This window comes from Homo sapiens, chromosome 5 (genome assembly GCF_000001405.40).
Source record: "Homo sapiens chromosome 5, GRCh38.p14 Primary Assembly".
In the NCBI taxonomy this organism is placed as follows: Eukaryota; Metazoa; Chordata; class Mammalia; order Primates; family Hominidae; genus Homo; species Homo sapiens.
Window position 1 is genome coordinate 35,656,586 of NC_000005.10, and position 19,178 is coordinate 35,675,763.

Consider the following 19,178-nt stretch of genomic DNA (forward strand, 5'->3'; position numbering starts at 1 on the left):
AGTACTTGTGTGTTGGCTGCAAGGTTTTTTCTCACTAATTTTCTGCTTGTAATCTAGGTCTGGCGTTTGCCTGGAAAATGGAATAAATGAATTCTTTCTAGATTTCCTCACTTTCCACTAGGATGCTATTAACACTGACTTTTCAAAACTAGAGTTGGAGGTATATTTACCAGTTTGGAAATCCAGCAACCTAAGGGGCCTAAAAAAGAGCCAGGGCTCTATATATTTCCATCACAGGAACCTCATCTTGTGCTGCTGCTTTTCTGTGTGTGGGTGAGCTGCTATTCCTAGAACCAGGCCTGAAGCATATGCTGCATTCCCTCCATTCCTACCACCTCCTTCCTATGGAATGTAGTGAGCCCAGGCTCCTGTGCAACTGACACAAGAGATCCTGGTCCACAGTGGTGGAATGGGAAATTCTTATGTGTACAATGGCTGGTTTTTCCATCCATTCTCCTCTCCTCCAGAGGAAAAATGGTATATGTCAGGGCTAGGAATTCTACTTCCTTCAATTACTTGCTGCTTTTCACAAGCATGACATAAATCCCACATCAGCCCTGAATGTTTTCTTCTGGTGCCATTTGCACTTAATCCATCAGAAATGCCTCAAAATATCTTCCCTAGCTTTCAAGTTGTTCCAGTTTCTCCCTGGAATTTAGGTATTCCTGTTTTAGTTTGGCTGGTGAAGAGACAGCCAGAGACCTGTGCTCAAGTTGATATCTTGCCTACTGATTGATAAATACGTGGAATTATGTGAACTAAATGATGAGATTTAAAGTTATAAAAATCAATTTGACTTTTTAGGGGATAGGTTTTGAGAGTAGGGATGGTAAGAAAAGGATTGGTAGGGAGGGGCTGATGTTGTTCAAGATAGGGGTGGTGTCACTGGGTATGGAATGGAATCGGGGGGGTGGTTTAAAAACATACCTAGGAGGTTTACTAGACTACTTCTTGAACAATTGAGTATTAGGAGTGATGAGAGAGGAGTGAACTTAGGATGGCCCTAATGTCTTAGATCACAGAGTGGATTATTGTAGGATCATCAACTGAGATGGGGAAATATGGGGAGAGGACCAGGTCTGAAGGGGAGTTAGTGAGTTTAGTTTTGGGCTTGTTAAAGTACTTCATAGGCATTTAAGTGTATTCAAACTGGGAACACAGTTTGGCTCCCACCTGGTTTTGTGGTCATATGGCTAGTGTCTTGGCCAATTAAGGTTTGCCCCAAGTCAGTTACCTCTGCCTTCTAAGAATCTTTTCTATGCCATTTCTTTGGAACTGGCATTTGAACGCCAGGCCCTTCCCTCACTTCTTAACTAGAAGACCCTTGAATACTTAGCTGTCAGGTCTTTCCTGCAGTGCCCTATTCCTCTATAGAGCTGCTTGGGCATCTTTGGAAAATTAAATAGTGGTTGTAGACCAGAGTAAGTTCTGGTCTCTAGATATTTTTCTATGTCTTCCCCATTGAGTACTATAGATACCTCCTCTTTCCACATGATGTCTCTGTTTCGAAAGAGTGAGAGAGCTTGATGGGGACTTGGATATTATCTTCCACCTAAACCCATAATTTTACCTAATGAGAAATAGGCCCGAGAAACTGAGTTAATTGCCCAAGGCCACCCAGCCTATTATGATGACCAGGTCCTCTGATTCCCAGTTTAATGTTTTTTTTCCACTGTTCATTTACTGGTCACCTTTCTATTCTCCTCAAACAGCCAAGAATACATCTATCTAGTTTTTCTTTCAGATTATGATCACTCAGATAAGATAAGCAGTAGGTCATTTCCCCCAGCCTCTTCTCCAGGCTTCACATTCTGTCAGTTTGTATTAATAGCTTTTCCTCACGTTGGTATTGTGATATCCTCACGGGGAACTAATCAGATCTGCAGTCTTCAGCTGACAATGCCTGATTTGTTTTATAACTAGTAGTTATGTTAAAATGCGTACAGCATAATCCCAACCTTCTGAAAACATGCTTTTAAGTTTAGAGTTATAGCACTTATTTTTTTTTTAACTTTTATTTTAAGTTCGGGGTACATGTGCAGGTTTGTTATATAGGTAAACTCGTGTTACAGGAGTTTGTGGTACAGATTATTTCATCACCCAGATATTAAGCCTAGTATCCATTAGCTATTTGCTTGTTTTTAAAACCTTGAAAAAAAATCACCTAATTTATTTCTAATAATGTTTTGAATGAAGTAATAATTTGTTTAAAGTAATTGTGAGTTGCAAAGCCATAATGTTTCTAAACACCAACTTTTGTTGGAAATCCTCATTTCATAACATGATTTTTTTTGCCATGTTCAAATTAAGTCAAATGACAGAAACTGATTTAGATGAACATTATGCCTTTTGTATATTGTTTCTGTATAGGCTTCGTAGCTCAGCGGGAAATTTGGACGTCACTTTAACAAATAATTCCCCTGGTGTTTTCAGGAGGCTTATCGGGAGGAACAGCTGATTAACCGGCTGATGCGGCAGTCCCAGCAGGAGCGCAGGATTGCCGTGCAGCTCATGCATGTTCGGCATGAAAAGGAAGTTTTATGGCAAAACAGAATTTTCAGAGAAAAACAACATGAGGAAAGACGACTTAAAGATTTCCAGGATGCTCTTGATCGAGAAGCGGTAAATACCATCTTCCTTAGAAATCTTTCTAAGGTTACTTTTGTTTCTTTCTACCAAGTCGTGGTAAACAAAGCTATATTTTGTTGCCAATCATCTAATAAGATTTTCTTTTGTATGATCAACCTGTTATCTGCCCATTTTTATTTTTGTATAACTCCATCAACAGGGCATGTAGCTGCTACATAGTACTATACTGTCTTCTTTTAATCTTGGTTCTACAAGTAGCTAAGTACTTAATGCTCACCACCAACCCTTATGTCCATGTCTCTCTAGTCATTTTGATTGTCTGAAGCTCTTTCTCCAATAGGTTTCTCATGAAGGGCTCATGGAAACCATATTCCCTGAGTTCTTATAACAGTGTGTGCCTTTTATACTTGATTGTAAGTTTGGCTGTATATAAAATGGTTAGTTCACACTTTGTTTCCTTGAATATCTTAAATATGTCACTCTGTTTTCTTCAAGTATGAAGTGTGCTGCCAAAAAGAATGGTGATAGTCTAACTTTCAGTTCCTTGAGTCATTACTTTTTTTTTAGATACTTTTTTTTTCTTTAAAAGTTCACTAAGTTTACTAGAGTAGGCATTGGTATTGGTTATTCTAGGTAAATATCCTCAGGCAGTGAGAGAACTTTTAAGCTGCTTCCTTTCAACTAGACACCATTAGTCTTTAATCAACAATTCCTTGCCTTCTGAAAAAAAAAAAAAGAGATTCCTCAGGCCCATATTATGCTATTCCTTCCTCAGAATGAGAATAAATGCTTTATCTAGGGTACTGTGGTGCACTGTAGTTGAGAATGGTATACAGAAACTCACATCTGGGCTGCTAGCTGTGCTCTTTGCTACTATGGTATCATTGTGTCTCGGCCCTTTTACAACTCTGAAAATCAAAATATCCAATCTTTTAATTATTTAATAGATTATTTTTGTCCCAAACTTTATGTATATGTGAGTTCTAGTAAAAAAAAATAGATTGATTTTATTAATGGAGTATATGGATTACTTCTTGTCTACTTCCTATTGGGGATGTTTCAGATTTATTTAATCCGTTTGTCCACATTTGATTGAAGAGAACTCCTGTGAGTGGCATTTTAGATAGCCTGTCTTTACTATCATAAGATATTCACAAAACCAGACTGGGCAGAAGAGAAACCTTATAGAAAACAGGAGGGCAGTGTTTTATTTACTAGCTTCATAGCTTCCACTGTGATACCCCATGAAAGTGTAATGTAACTTTTGCCAAAATTATGCAATTTTTAGAAATATCATTTGGAAAGTAGCATATTTTGCAGGGAGGAGAGTGTTGCTTTTGCCTTTGTGGAACAGGCATAGCCTAAACGGTGGGTATGGAATGGGGAGAGAGAACCATACCCCATGAATTTGAGCTGAATGAATGCTGACCTCAATGTCTTCTTTGGCTTCAAGAGCTGAGTTATCTGGATGATTGTTTCATCTCTCTTCTTTGGCAACAATAGACTTGACTAGACTGAGTGGCATTTACTTACATTAGAAATGATGTGTTTATCTTTCTAAGTGCCTATTTGAAAAATATGTTTATTTCACAAGCTCAGCTAAATAGCAAAGTATGTTTAGCTGGACTGGTCTCACAGTGATAAGGATCATCTATTCTTTCTTGAACTGGGGTTGAACTAACTTCAGAGGACCGGAACAGTTGGGCCTGCTAAAGCCTGAGAGACCTAAATTGTGAGGTTCTGAAGCATCTGAAAAAATTATATTTCTTCCTCTCACATGATTACCTTTTCCAACAGCGGAGCTATCTAGTTCCTTGGCATCTCTCCCTTAGAGATGGTTGGATTTTATGGCTTTCATCCATACATGTTGAGTTTATCAACTCCTCCACCAACAGTAGCTGGTACATAAGTAGGAGCTGAATAAATCAATCAATAAATGTTGAATTCAGTTTGCCAAATTAACAGTCACCTCTTCTTTCCAGTATCATTCACTAACTAAACAAAATCCATTTTATTCCCTACAGCATTATCATTCTACTTCTTTTATGTGAAGAAAGGAGGTTTTTTTTTTGGTATATATTATATATATATATATATATATATATATATATATATATATATATATTATACACACATATATACACATATACCAAAGTGTGTGTATATATATATACACACACACATATATACCAAAAAATATATATACCAAGATAAATATATATATATATTTGTTAACAAAAAATATATATATATTTGTTTAACTTTTAAGTTCAGGGGTATAAGTGCAGGTTTGTTACATAGGTAAATGTGTGTCATGGGGGTTTGTTGTACAGATTATTTCATCACCCAGGTATTAAGCCTAGTGCCCATTAGTTATTTTGCCTGATCCTCTCTCTCCTCCCACCCTCCACCCTCTGAAAGGTCCCAGTATGTGTTGTTCCCCTCCGTGTGTCCATGTGTTCTCATAATTTAGCTTCCACTTATAAGTGAGAACATGCAGTATTTGGTTTTCTATTCCTGCATTAGTTTGCTGAGGATAATAGCCTCCAGCTCAATCCATGTCTCTGCAAAGGACATGATCTCATTGCTTTTTATGGCTGCATATTATTCCATGGTGTATATATACCACATTTTCTTTATCCAGTCTATCATTGATTGGCATTTAGGTTGATTCCATGTCTTTGCTATTGTGAATAGTGCTGCAATGAATGTAGGCATTCATGGGTCTTTAAAATAGAATGATTTATATTCCTTTGGGTATAAACCCAGTAATGGAATTGCTGGGTTGAGTGGTATTTCTGCCTGTAGATCTTTGAGGAATTGCCACACTGTCCTCCACAATGGTTGAACTAATTTACTCTTCCACCTACAGTGTAAAAGTGTTCCTTTTTCTCTACAACCTCACCAGCATCTGTTGTTTTTTGACTTTTTGGTAATAGTCATTCTGACTGGTATGAGATGGTATCTCATTATGGTTTTGATTTGCATGTATCTAATGGTCAGTGATGTTAAGCTTTTTTTTCACGTTTGTTAGCCATTTGTATGTCTTCTTTTGAAAAGTGTCTGTTCATGTCATTTGCCCACTTTTTAATGGGGTTGTTTGTTTTTTCTCTTGTAAATTTGTCTGAGTTTCTTATAGATGTTGGATATTAGACCTTTGTCAGATGCATAGTTTGTAAAAATTTTCTCCCATTCTGTAGGTTGTTGGTATACTCTGTCAACAGTTTCTTTTGCTGTGCAGAAGCTCTTTAGTTTAATTAGATCCCATTTGTCAATTTTTGCTTTTGTTGCAATTGCTTTTGGCATCTTCATCATGAAATCTTTGCCCGTGCTTATGTCCTGAATGGCATTACTTAGGTTGTCTTCCAGGGTTTTTATAGCTTTGGGTTTTACATTTAAGTCTTTAATCCATCTTGAGTTAATTATTGTATATGGTGTAAGGGAGGGGTCCAGTTTCTATCTTCTGCATATAGGTAGCCAGTTATCCCAGCACCATCTATCAAATAGGAAATCCTTTCCCCATTGCTTGTGTTTGTCAGGTTTGTTGAAGATCTGATGACTGGAGGTGTGTGGTCTTATTTCTGGGTTCTCTATTCTGGTCCATTGGTCTATGTGTCTGTTTTTGTGTTTTGATTACTCTAGCCCTGTGTAGTGTAGTGTAGTTTGAAATCAGGTAGTGCGATGCTTCCAGCTTTGTTCTTAGTTTTTATTGTTCTTGTCATTTTTATTGTTATTTGAGAGTGGGAGGAGATGGCACATTCTAAAAGTACTTTTAAATCTATTAAGGTCTTTAAGGTTTCTTAACTATGCTCACAAAGTATTAATAATATTTGTATTACTTATTTTAATAGTATTTATTTGCTATTCCATGGCTACTTTCTATTAAGTATTGCTGTGGAAAATACTGATTTTGTTTCTACTTCTTTGGCTGCTCCTTCTCAGGAGCAGGGTCATTGTCTTTACAGGCCCATTGTTCCCTTATATCAAAACATTTATTAACAGATTGCTCAAAGCTTCATCTTTGACTTCCTTATATTCTTTTCTATGTTATTTCTCAGACAATTTCATCCACAACCATGGTGAAGTATTTACTGCAATAGACAGATGACCCATGCAGTTATGCCTCTGTCCTCCAAGATGAAGGGCCATAGTTTTAGTATTCCTTGACATCTGTGGTCATATGTCTCAGAGACACTTCAAATTCAACATGTTCCAAGCCAAATGTATGACCTTTGCTATGAAACTAGTCTTTTTCAATGTTCCATAGCTCAACAAATGGCATCATTATTTATCAAATTGTATAAGCCTGAAACTTCAGGGCCCACCTGAAAGCTGCTTCACCCTTATTCTTCCATACCCAAAATATCCACTGAGTGTTATCATTTTCATGTATTAAATTTCTCTTCATCGTGTCCATTTTCCTCCATGTCTACACTACCACCCCTGGTTTCTACTGCAGTACTACTACTGCAGTGGTTTCCTTTATCCATTTTTAGTGGTTATGAATTGGTGACCAAAAACTGGAGAGTGTAAGAATATAACATTATTTATTTTCCTTAAATCAACCCTAAGTTTTACTCTTTCATCCTACCTCTGCACACAGAGAATGTACAATGCCCCAGGTTATAAGGGCCAAGCCATCTTGGAAACACTACAGTCATCAGGTGCAAGCCCAGTACTATTGAGACCTCAGCTACTGCAGCCAACATGCTACCCTCAGTGGCACAGGAAACTTTGGGGAGGCTGCTCCAGCCTTTGTTGGTCTTCCATATAATCCCCTCTGAGGCTTCATTGCCCCCCTTCATTTTCATTGCCTGGGTTCTGGCCACATTGGTTTGCTCTCAGATCCTTGAACAAGTCATTTCTTCTACTTTGCCCCTCTTCCCAAGTGCCTTCACCCAATTAATACTTGTTTTCAAAGCTCCATGCATATGCCCCTTCTTGTCTAGGTCAGGCCTCATACCCCATGGTCTTGCCCTAATGACACTTGTCATAGTGTGTAATTATACATGTATTTGTGTGGCTTTTTGACTGTTTGCCTATCCCACTGGCATGTAAAGTCCATAAGGGCAGTACCACGTTTGCTCTTGCTCATGAAATAAAGAAAAAAAAAAAAAAGAGGAAAGAAGGAAGGAAGGAAGGAAAAAGAAAAGAAAGGGAAAAGAGAGACGAGGGAAGGAAGGAAGGAAAGAAGGAAGGAAGGAAGGAAAGAAGGAAGGAAGGAAGAAAGGAAAGGCTGACCATGGTGGCTCACACCTGTAATCCCACCACTTTGGGAGGCCAAGGCAGGTGGATCACGAGGACAAGAGTTCAAGGCCAACATGGTGAAACCCTGTCTCTACTAAAAATACAAAAATTAGCCAGGTGTGATGGTGTGCACCTGTAGTCCCAGCTACTTGGGAGGCTGAGGCAGGAGAATTGCTTGAACCCAGGAGGCTGAGGTTGTAGTGAGCCGAGATAACTCCATTGCACTCCAGCTCTGGATGACAGCAAGACTCCATCTCGGGGGAAAGGAAGGGAAAGAAGAGAGAGAGAGAGAGAGAGGGAGGGAGAGAGAGGGAGAGGGAGAGAGAGAGAGGAAGGAAGGAGGAGAGAGAGAGAGAGAGAAAGAGGGAGGGAGAGAGAGGGAGAGGAAGAGGGAGAGGGAGAGAGGAAGGAAGGAGGAGAGAGAGAAAACGAGGGAGGAGAACTTTGTGTTTTTCTTTCACTCTCAATTTTTTGAGCGTTTTTGTTTTGTTTTTAGATTAAATCTGCTAATCTCTTCCTTTGAGACAATTGCAAAACTATTCTATATTAAGACAGTTCCTGATTTCAAATTTCTGTGCTACCTACTATAATTATTGAAAATTCATTACAATAATATTTGATGTTTTTTGAGCTTTACTTTGAGTCAAGCATTGTACTATGTTTGTTACAAGCATGTATAATATAATTCTTTCAACGACCATAAGTGGATGCCATCCTTATTTACATTTAACACATCAGGAAATTGAAGACTAGAAGGCTCAAAGTCACACAGCTTCTCAGTGGTGTAGCAGGGAGCAAGGCCAGCTCTATCAGATTTTAGAGTCCAGGCTCATAACCACGGAGATTTACTACCTCCCACAGACTTCCTTTTTCCTTTTCCTCCTTCTCTTTTTATGGCTGCAACCCACTTAGCTGTAATGAGACAGGAAATTATGGTGGCTTTGGCAGAGGATTGATGGTAGATATAGAAAAGGAGAAGGAAGACTAGACAGCTGGATGAAGGGAGGGAGAGGAACAGAGGGAGGGAGGGAGGGAGCGAGGAAGGGAGGAAGAGAGAGAGGGAGATGCGGAGACAGGCAATGGCAGCAACCAGGGTTGAAAGCTATACTATTACTGGTAGGACCATTCTACTATTCCCTTAAAGGTTTTTTTTCCTCACATCCTAAATATTTCCATGTGTTTCAGAGAACTCTGTAGTAAACCAACCTCATGATCCATTTTTTTTTGTCACTCTTTCCATGAATTCTCATTGGATATTTCTGCTCTCTTAGATTCATTTTTCCTCTGAATTCTTCACTTCATGAATCATGCCATAAAGCTTTGTACTTAAATTGTACTCTTTCTCCATAAAAACAGGGTATACAGAATAATACAAGAATAACAAACTCTGATGTAATTCCTGAATCTGTCAAATGTACAGAACTGACCTTAGTGATCACCCAGCTTAACCCCCTTCCCAACAAAAATGAAATAAGCACACAAAATAAAACAGTAATAGCAAAACAAATGGTGGACCTTACACAGCAATCCATTGTCACACATCTAGTCATTTATGAATAGTATCATAATAGGAAATATTTGTTCTGATGAGATGGTTTGGTAATTTTTTGGGGTATGCTAAGTACTATTAATAACCTGACTTTGAGGAAATGGAGGCACAAGGAGACTAATGACTTGCCCAAGGTCTCACAGCTAGAAATTGAATTCTATATAAAATCTAGGGCTTGAACTCGACCATAGCTCCTCCAAAGCCCAAGTTTACTTCCATTTGATACTCACTGGGTTGTTACAGGAGGGAAGTCTTTTTCCTAGAGCAGGCTAGCACGTAACTGAATTTCTCAAGAAGCTGGCGTAGCTATCTGAAAAGCAATATTTGGTCATTTGAATCCCACTTATTAAGTATTATGTTATCCTCAGCTTGGCTGGACTGAGTTCAACCTTTGTACCTTGTGTGAAGAAAAGATTCCCTAAACAAAATAATAATGCACTAAGGAGAGGGCGATAACAAGCTAAGTGTTTCATTGCTTTCTACATAAATAGATGTTCCTACAAATGAATGCCATCAGTTGTTAAGGCTGTATCTGTAGAGGGTTGTAATTAACACATTTAACATTTGTTGGCAAATGTGTTATATTCTCAAGCCAGTATAATCTGGGACTTTCTAAAATATTTTCTAAGTATAAACCAGTATTATAGAACTCTCCCATTGAAAGACAGAGGGCAATGGCTATAGCAGATGTGTCAAAATTGGCACTTTGGAGGTGGGAGGGAGGGGTCAGCTATGCTTAGGGTCTGGCACAAACTTGCCTGTTTCTCTCCGATCCCTATTTGCAACCGGTGAACTCAGGACTTCTTTTTGAAGGCTTAAGATCCAATTCCTCATTAATCCACATTGGGCTTTCCCCAGTTAGATCACGTCTGACTGTATTATGCTTTGTTGATAAGATAAGCTAAGAGTAGGATATTTCCAATATTGTCTTTGCATTAAGTGCTAATGTATTAAGAAAAAAGTGTTCATTCATGATTAATTTTTTTCCTGGTGTGAGAAGAGGTTTCATTCTACTGAAAGACTTTTTGGCCATTGAAATGATGACATTATTTTTATTTGATTCAATTATAGTGACTTAAAAATATGTTTTTGCCTTTTTAGGCTTTGGCAAAACAAGCCAAGATTGACTTTGAAGAACAATTCCTTAAAGAAAAGAGATTTCATGATCAGATTGCTGTGGAAAGAGCTCAAGCTCGTTATGAAAAGCATTATTCAGTATGTGCAGAAATTTTGGATCAAATAGTTGATTTGTCCACTAAAGTGGCAGACTATCGAATGTTGACAAATAAGTAAGTATTTTTTTTGTAATAACAGTAGAGACACGATAGAGAATGAGGAAGGATAAGATTGTAAAATAGATACTAGGATGATAAGTAAAGAGAGATAAAAATGATTCATGAAAAGACTAAAAGGTGGGGTCCAGGAGACCTTGATTACTGACTTGATTTACTCACTGACTATTTTTATTTAAGATGCATATATGCCTTTTTCCTCACCTTTTATGAAAATTAAAGTGGATCATAGACTTAAATGTAACTCATAGCACTATAAAACTTTGAGGAAAAAAATGGGAGAAAATCTTTGGGTTCTATGACTAGGCAACAAGTTCTTAGACTTGACACCAAAAGCATGATCCATAAAAGGAAAACTTGACAAATTGGACTTCATTAAAATTAAAAATTTTTGCTCTGCAAAAGACAAAACTTTATAAGTTGGACTTCCTCAAAATTAAAACTTTTTGCTTTGAAAAAGATGAAAGGATGTATAGAATAGGAGAAGATATTTCAAACTGCCTATCCCACAAAAGACTAATATCTAGAATATATGAAGTATTCTCAAAATTCAACAATAAAAAATAAGCCAGTTCAAAAATAGGCAAAAGATATGAAAAGACATTTCACTGAAGAGGATATTTAGATGACAAATACACAAGTAAAAAAATTCACCCTTGTTAGTCATTAGAAAATTTCAAATTGAAATCACAATGATATATCATTACACACCTATAAGAATGGTTAAAATTTTTAAAAAAATGAAAACACCAAATACTGGCAAGGATCTGGAGAAAACCACTATTCATTACTGCTGAGAAAGGTGAAATGGTATAGCCCCTCTGGAAAACAGTTTGGCAATTTCTTAAAAAGCAGAATATGCAACTCCCACACAACCTAGCAATTACACTTCTGGGCATTTATCCTAGAGAAATTAAGACTTAAATTCACACAAAAACCTGTATACAAATGTTTATATCACCTTTATTTGTAATAGCTTAAAACTGATAACAATCCAGATATCTCTCAACAGGTAATAGAGTGTGATACATCCGTATCATGGAATATTGCTGAGAAATATAAAATAATAAACTATTAATACATGCCACAATCTGGATGAATCTCCAGATACTTAGGCTGCGTGGGAAAGAGCCAGTCTCAAAATGTTACATGCTCTGTGATTTCATTTATATAACATTCTTGAAATGACAAAGTTATAGAAACTGAGAACAGATTAGTGATTGCCAGGGGCTAAGAATGGGATGGAGGTGAGAGGGAAGTGAGTGTGGCTCTGAAAGGGCAACATGATGGGTTCTGTGGTGATAGAAGGTTCTGTATCTTGACTGTATCAATGTTAATATCCTGGTTGTGATATCGTACTGTGGTTTTGCAAGATATTACAATCAGGAGACACTGGGTAAAGGGTATATGGATCTCCATATTTTAAAAATGTTCCTACTTTTGCCATTTTATCTGTTTCTATCCTCATATCCTTAAATGTGAACAGAATTTTACAGTAAAGGTCAGATAGCTAAGGTTTTTTTCTTCTATAGTTTTTTTCAAAATATGTGGACTACTTTAGTGGGTTGCAATCATGAAGCCATAGAATGTCTACAAATGTCATAGTAAGTCATATTGAAAGAGAATATTAAAAGGTTATTAGGAGGAAACAGGTAATTTTGGAGCTTTTTAAAGCCCTAATAAGTGGTGGAGAAAGCAAAAAGGAGAAGTACCTGAATCTGAGGTTTGTCAGGAGTTCAAGACCCCTGAACACACAGCCTTTTAAACAGGAAACGTTGTTAGGTCTGTAGCCGTTAAATAATAACTCCTCATCCCCTTCAATCCCCAGCCACTGATAATCTCTATCCTACTTGATGTCTCTGAATTTGTCTCTTCTAGGTACCTTATATAAGTGGAATAATATATTTGTCCTTTTTCTGTCTGGCTTATTTCACTTAGCATAACGTCTTCAAGGTCCTTTCATGTTGTAGCATGAATCAGAATGAAATACTACTTTTTAAGTTGTAATTTCAGGTTCTAGTCCAACTGTTTATGATCATGTCAGGACATTTCACACATCTTGTCTTGAAACCATTTTCCCATCACTCTGTCCTTGTTGTCTCCTAAGCATTCCTCAGGACTCAGCTTAGCAGTCATTTCTTTAAAGAGACCTTCCTGGAACCAACAAGTTAAGTTGAGTCATACTGTTGTGCTTTCCCATTGTATAATTCTTATTCAAAACTTTCATTTATGTACGCAATTATTTTTTCCCCTTCTTTCCCAGAGTCTGCTATTTAAGTCCAGGTATTCCACTTGCTATTATATTTCTAATAGCTAGTAAAATGTCCGGAACTTAGTGGGTTTGAAGAATGATTGTTACTTTATGCCACTGGCTCTTTTCACTTTTTTATTGACTGTTTCATAGCAGAACAATATATCTAAAAATATTGAGTACAGTCAGAACACTTAGGTTCCTTAATTCTCAGCTCTGATATCAGCTTACTATGCAACCTTAGGAAATTATTTAAATGCTCTAGTATCAGTGTCCTCCTGTGCAAAACGAACAAACTGAGTGCTTTTCAAGGCCCCTTTAAGAGAAAAGTAGGTTTACATTTTGTAAATTATTTGTAACAGAAAAATCTCATATATATTAGTCTTATTGTCATTGCACATATGGTAACCTTTAAGATCATTTTTCAGTAATTATTTCTGTCTGATGAAAGTGAGCTAATTACATAAATATAATAAAAATACCAATGTTTAAAATCTATATTTGACTAACCATTGATTCATCTCTACCTTTTTTTTGTGCGATAGTCTGATTCCGTATAAGTTGATGCATGATTGGAAGGAACTATTTTTTAATGCAAAACCCATATATGAACAAGCCTCTGTTAAGACACTACCTGCTAACCCCTCAAGAGAACAACTTACAGAACTGGAGAAAAGGGACTTGCTAGATACCAATGATTATGAAGAATATAAGGTACCTACTGATATGAAATAATTAGAATGCTACATAATAAATCCTTTTTCTTTAACATTAATTTTGTGATATTCCTTATTTCATTTCTACTAATAAAAATAGACATGTTTTGTTTGCATTTTCCCTTGTTTTAATTTGTATGTTTGTACTACTTTTTAGATGCTTAAACTATACATAAGCTATTATCTATTGTTCCTAGTAATCTTAGGGGAGTGGTCTGAAAAAACATCAAGCATAGTAATTGTCTGGGTAGACAGATTTCAGAATTTTTAAAATGCTTTAATTTATTTATTAGCATTTTTCTTTGTATGGGCTGTGTACTTTTGCTTCAAAAACCATTGTTAAAAAGTATTTCTTTTGTAATCAATCTAAATAATAGACTTTTTTTACAGGCAAAATGAAAGAGGAGGAAGTCTGGGTTTTATGAATAGCATAGATTCAAACAATCTTTTATTCAAAGATTGAAATAAAAAGTATCGGGTGCCAACTGTGATTTTTAGAAGAACTGTTGTAAAGCCTTTGAGATTAGACAGACTAGAGCTACATTACTGAAATTGCCAACTACTAACTGTGTGACCTTAGGTGACCAGTTCATTAAGGGCTAATAGATTTCCATTTTTCAATTAATGGAAAGGGAATGCTACTATACCTACTTCATTTAAAATAACATGAGTTAAACACTTAGCTGAGTGCACTTCATGTTGGATGCATATAATACATATCCATTTCTTTCCTCACCATCCTACTCTCCCCATCCCACTCCATCTCACCCTTAGAAGTAAAGGTGTAACAATCATAGCTTTTGGATAGAAATTTTGAGTGGATCAACAGCAATGGAATGAGGAGTGAGGCTTTTTATTAGAAAAATTACAAAATGAGTCCCGGAAGGTCAGTAAGTGCAACATGAAAAAAATCTATGAAAAGATTATTTGACCTAATTATTCACTGATAGTACATACTCAACAAAGGTTTGTGGGACAAAGGGTGAATAAAATGAATGAATTACAATGAACAAAGAAAAGTGCAAAATAACACTAACAAGTAAATATTACAAGAAGATAACCTTGTGGTTAAAAGATAAGGAAAAATATGAGATTATGAGAAATTAAATGTATACTATATTTTAATTAAATGAATCTGTATTTGTAGCACTAAGAGAATTATTATTAAGGATTGACTAGAACCTTAAAAGATATATGTGGATGTTTGTTTTGTACGGTTGTAAAATATACTAGACCTATTACATCCACCTAAAGTATAATGCCATGTAAGAAAATGCTTTGACAGTATCAACCTGTGTTAAGGTATTTCTTTCCATTGTAAATTAAAAGTCATTTTATTTGACAGACTTTACTGGTTCATCGAATGTTTATTTCTAAATTACTTGCTAAACAGCTCAATCTCTATTCTTGTTGCTCTTACAAATCAGGAGACCTAGTAGGCTGCAGCTTAGCAAAGATTTTTGTCTCTTTAGCTATTTTCCTTGTATGAGAAATGGTTACCACAGGAACATGCTTGTCTTACCCACATCCTGAAGCAGATGATGCATTTCTTTTGCAGAAAATTGTAAACTTTTGTTAGGAGTTTGTGAGCGTCTAGCAATGTACTTTATTTTGTGTATTGACTTTGCTGTTTTTCTAGAAATGAAAATTACCTTAGGATTTATAATATGTTTTCACAAGCTCCCTTCGACACCATAATGGAAAATATGCCATATACAGGTTTTAGGATATACTGTAAACTATTATACTATCATTCTTTATTTTTAGATCTTTGGTCTCTTCAAGAACTTGTCCTAAATGTTCCTACATACAAGTAAAAAATAAATGTTTCAACTTGTAAAATATATTATCTGGCTTAAATAGTCTATCACAAGAGGCAGCGGAACAATGCATCCTGGCTTATCTAAAAGAAACAGTTGTCCACGTTTGTCATTATTAAATTTGTTCAGGAGTTTTAATGCAAATATATTACTCAGAAATTAATACATTTGCTTGAACATAATGTTCATTATAATGTTATTGAACATAATGTTCATTATAATGTTATTGAACATTATATATAATTCATTATAATGTTATTGAACATAATGTTCATTATAATGTTATTGAACATTATATATAATGAACATTATTATGTTCAAGCAAATGTATTAATTTCTAAGTAATACATTTGCATTAAAACTCCTGAACAAATTTAATAATGACAAATGTGGACAACTGTTTCTTTTAGATAAGCCAGGATGCATTGTTCCGCTGCCTGTTGTGATAGACTATTTAAGCCAGATAATATATTTTACAAGTTGAAACATTTATTTTTTGCTTGTATGTGGGAACATTTAGGACAATTTCTTGAAGAGACCAAAGATCTAAAAATAAAGAATGATAGTATAATAGTATAATACATTTGCTTGAACAAATAGTGTAATACATTTGCTTGAACATAATAATGTTCATTATATATAATGTTCAATAACATTATAATGAACATTATGTTCAAGCAAATGTATTATTCAGAAATTAATCTTCAAAAAGTTTATATTCTTAGCATACTTAATTGATGTCCATACCCTATACCTTTAAAGAACTGACAGTTCCCAGTTTTGAGTTTGTGCTTTTAGAAGCCCGTGTTCTGTTCAAATAAGCTATTATGCTTAAAATTTTTAAATATTGTACCTAGAAATTGCAATTAAAACAGATATTTGCTTATGTACATGTCATATGTAGCTGCCAAAAATTTGACTCATGTCTTAACTTTATTTCCTAAATCATCACACTCTATTTATGTGAGAATGACTGAATGTGAGGGAGCTCTACCCCAGTGGCTAGAAATAACATTTCTCTCTCCCAGGAAAGAGGCAAGAACAGCATCATGGAGCAGTCAGACCTCTCTGGGGTTCCTAGGCAACTACCACAGCATAACAACATTGAGTTATTTAGTAGAAAGTGAGGAAGGGCCCTTAAAGCCCAATGGACCATGGGTAGCAGTCTAAGCCAGGAGGCCTGGTTCCTGTAGTGCAGCTGGCAGCACAGCCCCACACAGCAGCTAGTGGTTCTCAATCATGCAGTGGACTCCTGCCAGTGAACCTCAAACTCCCCCTAATGCAAATCCTTTCTGTGGGTCTTACTAGCAAATGAGTTGCAATTCATAGCGTTTCACTTTTATATAAGCTGCTTACTAGCAATTACTAGTTGAATGAGTTTAAGAGTTACTAAAATTTAGTGTTCATAAACTAAAATTAGCTCATGGCTATGGTTTCCTGAAGATTTGGATTTTTCTAAGAAGTCCCTGCCACAAAGCACTCAACCATTTTCAGAGCTCTACTGTGCATGCCCATAACCAAGTTATACTTGGAATTTCTATAATTTGGGGGAAGGATATTTCATTTCCAGCACATCATCCATGTTGTCTTAAGTTGTTCATGATTTTTAATTGCTGCTATTTTTTGCCTTTAATGGCAAATTAGTGTTTAAGTTCATGATCAGGTGAGTTTGTTGTGGTTATTGGATTAACCCTACAGTGTGTGTTATAATGTACATTTTTATTAACATTATTTTTGGCTTATGATTTTCCGTCAACCAGACTTTAAGATGTGGTTGTATATGTTATGGTTTAACATGTGTACGCCTGTCACTACAGCACATGTATGGACACCTATCCCCCAGTTTTTTTACAATGACCTTTATTACCACCAGGTCTTTTTCCACCAAAGAATAGAAATATGGGACTAAATGAGCCATGGAGTTCTCTGTTTTCCTGTCTCATCTGAATTGTGTGGCCCAAAGACATCCCTGGATAATTGACACAAGCACAGTGATAGATTTTAGTAGATGAATGTTAAGGGCATGTGAATCGATCACTTTTTTACATTTAAAACATATACATTGCATTGATCAGCTCAGGCTGCTATAATAATACACTATAGACTGGGTGGCTTAAACAACAGCAATTTATTTTTCATAGTTCTGGAGACTGAGAAGCCCAAGGTTAAGGTGTTAGCCAGTTTGACTCCCCAGTGAGATCTTTCTTCCTGGCTCACAGAAGACTGCCTTCCTGCTGTGTTCTCACAGGGCAGAGAGAAACAGAGTGAGCTCTTCTCTTTTCGTCTTCTTTTTTTTTTTTTTTTTTTTGGTGTTTCCAAATTCTTTTTATTATTATTATTATTATATTTTAAGTTTTAGGGTGCATGTGCACAATGTGCATGTTAGTTACATATGTATACATGTGCCATGTTGGTGTGCTGTACCCATTAACTCGTCATTTAACATTAGGTATATCTCCTAATGCTCTCCCTCCCCCCTCCCCCGACCCCAAAACAGGCCCTCGTGTGTGATGTTCCCCTTCCTTTGTCCATGTGTTCTCATTGTTCAATTCCCACCTATGAGTGAGAACATGTGGTGTTTGGTTTTTTATCCTTGCGATAGTTTGCTGAGAATGATGGTTTACGAAAACTAATCTCATCATGGGAGCCCCTCCCTCATGACCTCATCTAAACCTGATTACATTCCAAAGGCCTAGCCTCCAAGTACCATCACATTGGAGGTTAGGGCTTCAACATATGAATCTGGGGGAGACACAAACATTCAGCCCATAATATATGCATTTATTCAGGATACTTACAAAATGTCACAATATGGAAACTTACTAATTAAGTATAGGAACTTTTAATTTCACATGAAGTTGCTTGTTTTATGGCCTCTTCTGTTTCTTGCCAAGAAGTCTTAATTTTCTTGTCTTTTGACTATGAAGATGCTTCTACTGATGAACCTGAGCATTAATTCTAATTATTCATTTTAATATAAATGTATATAATTGCATTGTGTAGTACTGGAGGGCCCTGAAAAATATGATGGTTTCATCTTTTATTTTCAGATATGGAGGAATACAGCTGACCTCTAAGTGGACAGAGTAAGCACTTGCTTATATGATGAAGGCTGAGATATTCTCTAAGGCTATTATTCTATTGTAAAAATTCTGCCTGTCATTGCACTCAATGCCTCACAATATCATTCCTTTGAATTAAGACATCAGCACTTCCTAAAATACAAACATTTCTCAAGATAGGCAATAAGAATCATGATCAGCCTCCAAAATAGAAAGGAGCTGGGAAGGAAGATTGATGTTGAAAGAAATATTCTCATATCATTCTAGTTTAGTTTTTAAGAGTGTGCCATTTCATACGTGCAATTTCTTTTCTCATTTGTTTACAGTGTTACCTCTAACTCCCTAAATTCCTTCACTAATGGTAAGGCTATGGCTTTTGTAGACTAAGCCTCATTGTATCTTGGTTGGTTAGGATTCCTTTTTTTTTTTTTTTTTGAGAGGGAGTCTCGCTCTCGCTCTTGCTCTGTCGCCCAGGCTGACGTGCAGTGGCGCAATCTCGGCTGGCTGCAAGCTCCGCCTCCCTCCCAGTAGCCAGGACTACAGGCCTACAGGCGCCCGCCACCACACCCGGCTAATTTTCTGTATTTTTAGTAGAGACAGGCTTTCAACGTGTTAGCCAGGATTCTTATTTGTAGTAATCAAGCACACTGAT

The 19,178-nt window shown here is 36.4% G+C and overlaps 1 protein-coding gene across 21 annotated transcripts in view; it reads left to right on the forward strand.

Moving 5' to 3' along the window:
• Positions 1 to 19,178, forward strand: part of SPEF2 (sperm flagellar 2) — a 196,749-nt gene that overhangs the window by 38,723 nt on the left and 138,848 nt on the right. For 20 of the 21 annotated variants that reach the window (XR_925655.3, XM_011514136.4, NM_024867.4 and 17 more), the window contains 3 exons: positions 2,434 to 2,622; positions 10,487 to 10,674; positions 13,474 to 13,642. Coding sequence is in view for 20 of the 21 variants with exons in the window: in XM_011514136.4 (XP_011512438.1) it covers positions 2,434 to 2,622; positions 10,487 to 10,674; positions 13,474 to 13,642 (546 nt within the window). In the remaining variant the exon portion in view is untranslated. Of the gene's footprint in view, positions 1 to 2,433; positions 2,623 to 10,486; positions 10,675 to 13,473; positions 14,992 to 19,178 lie in introns of those variants that run through there. The other variant, NM_144722.4, reaches the window with a different exon arrangement.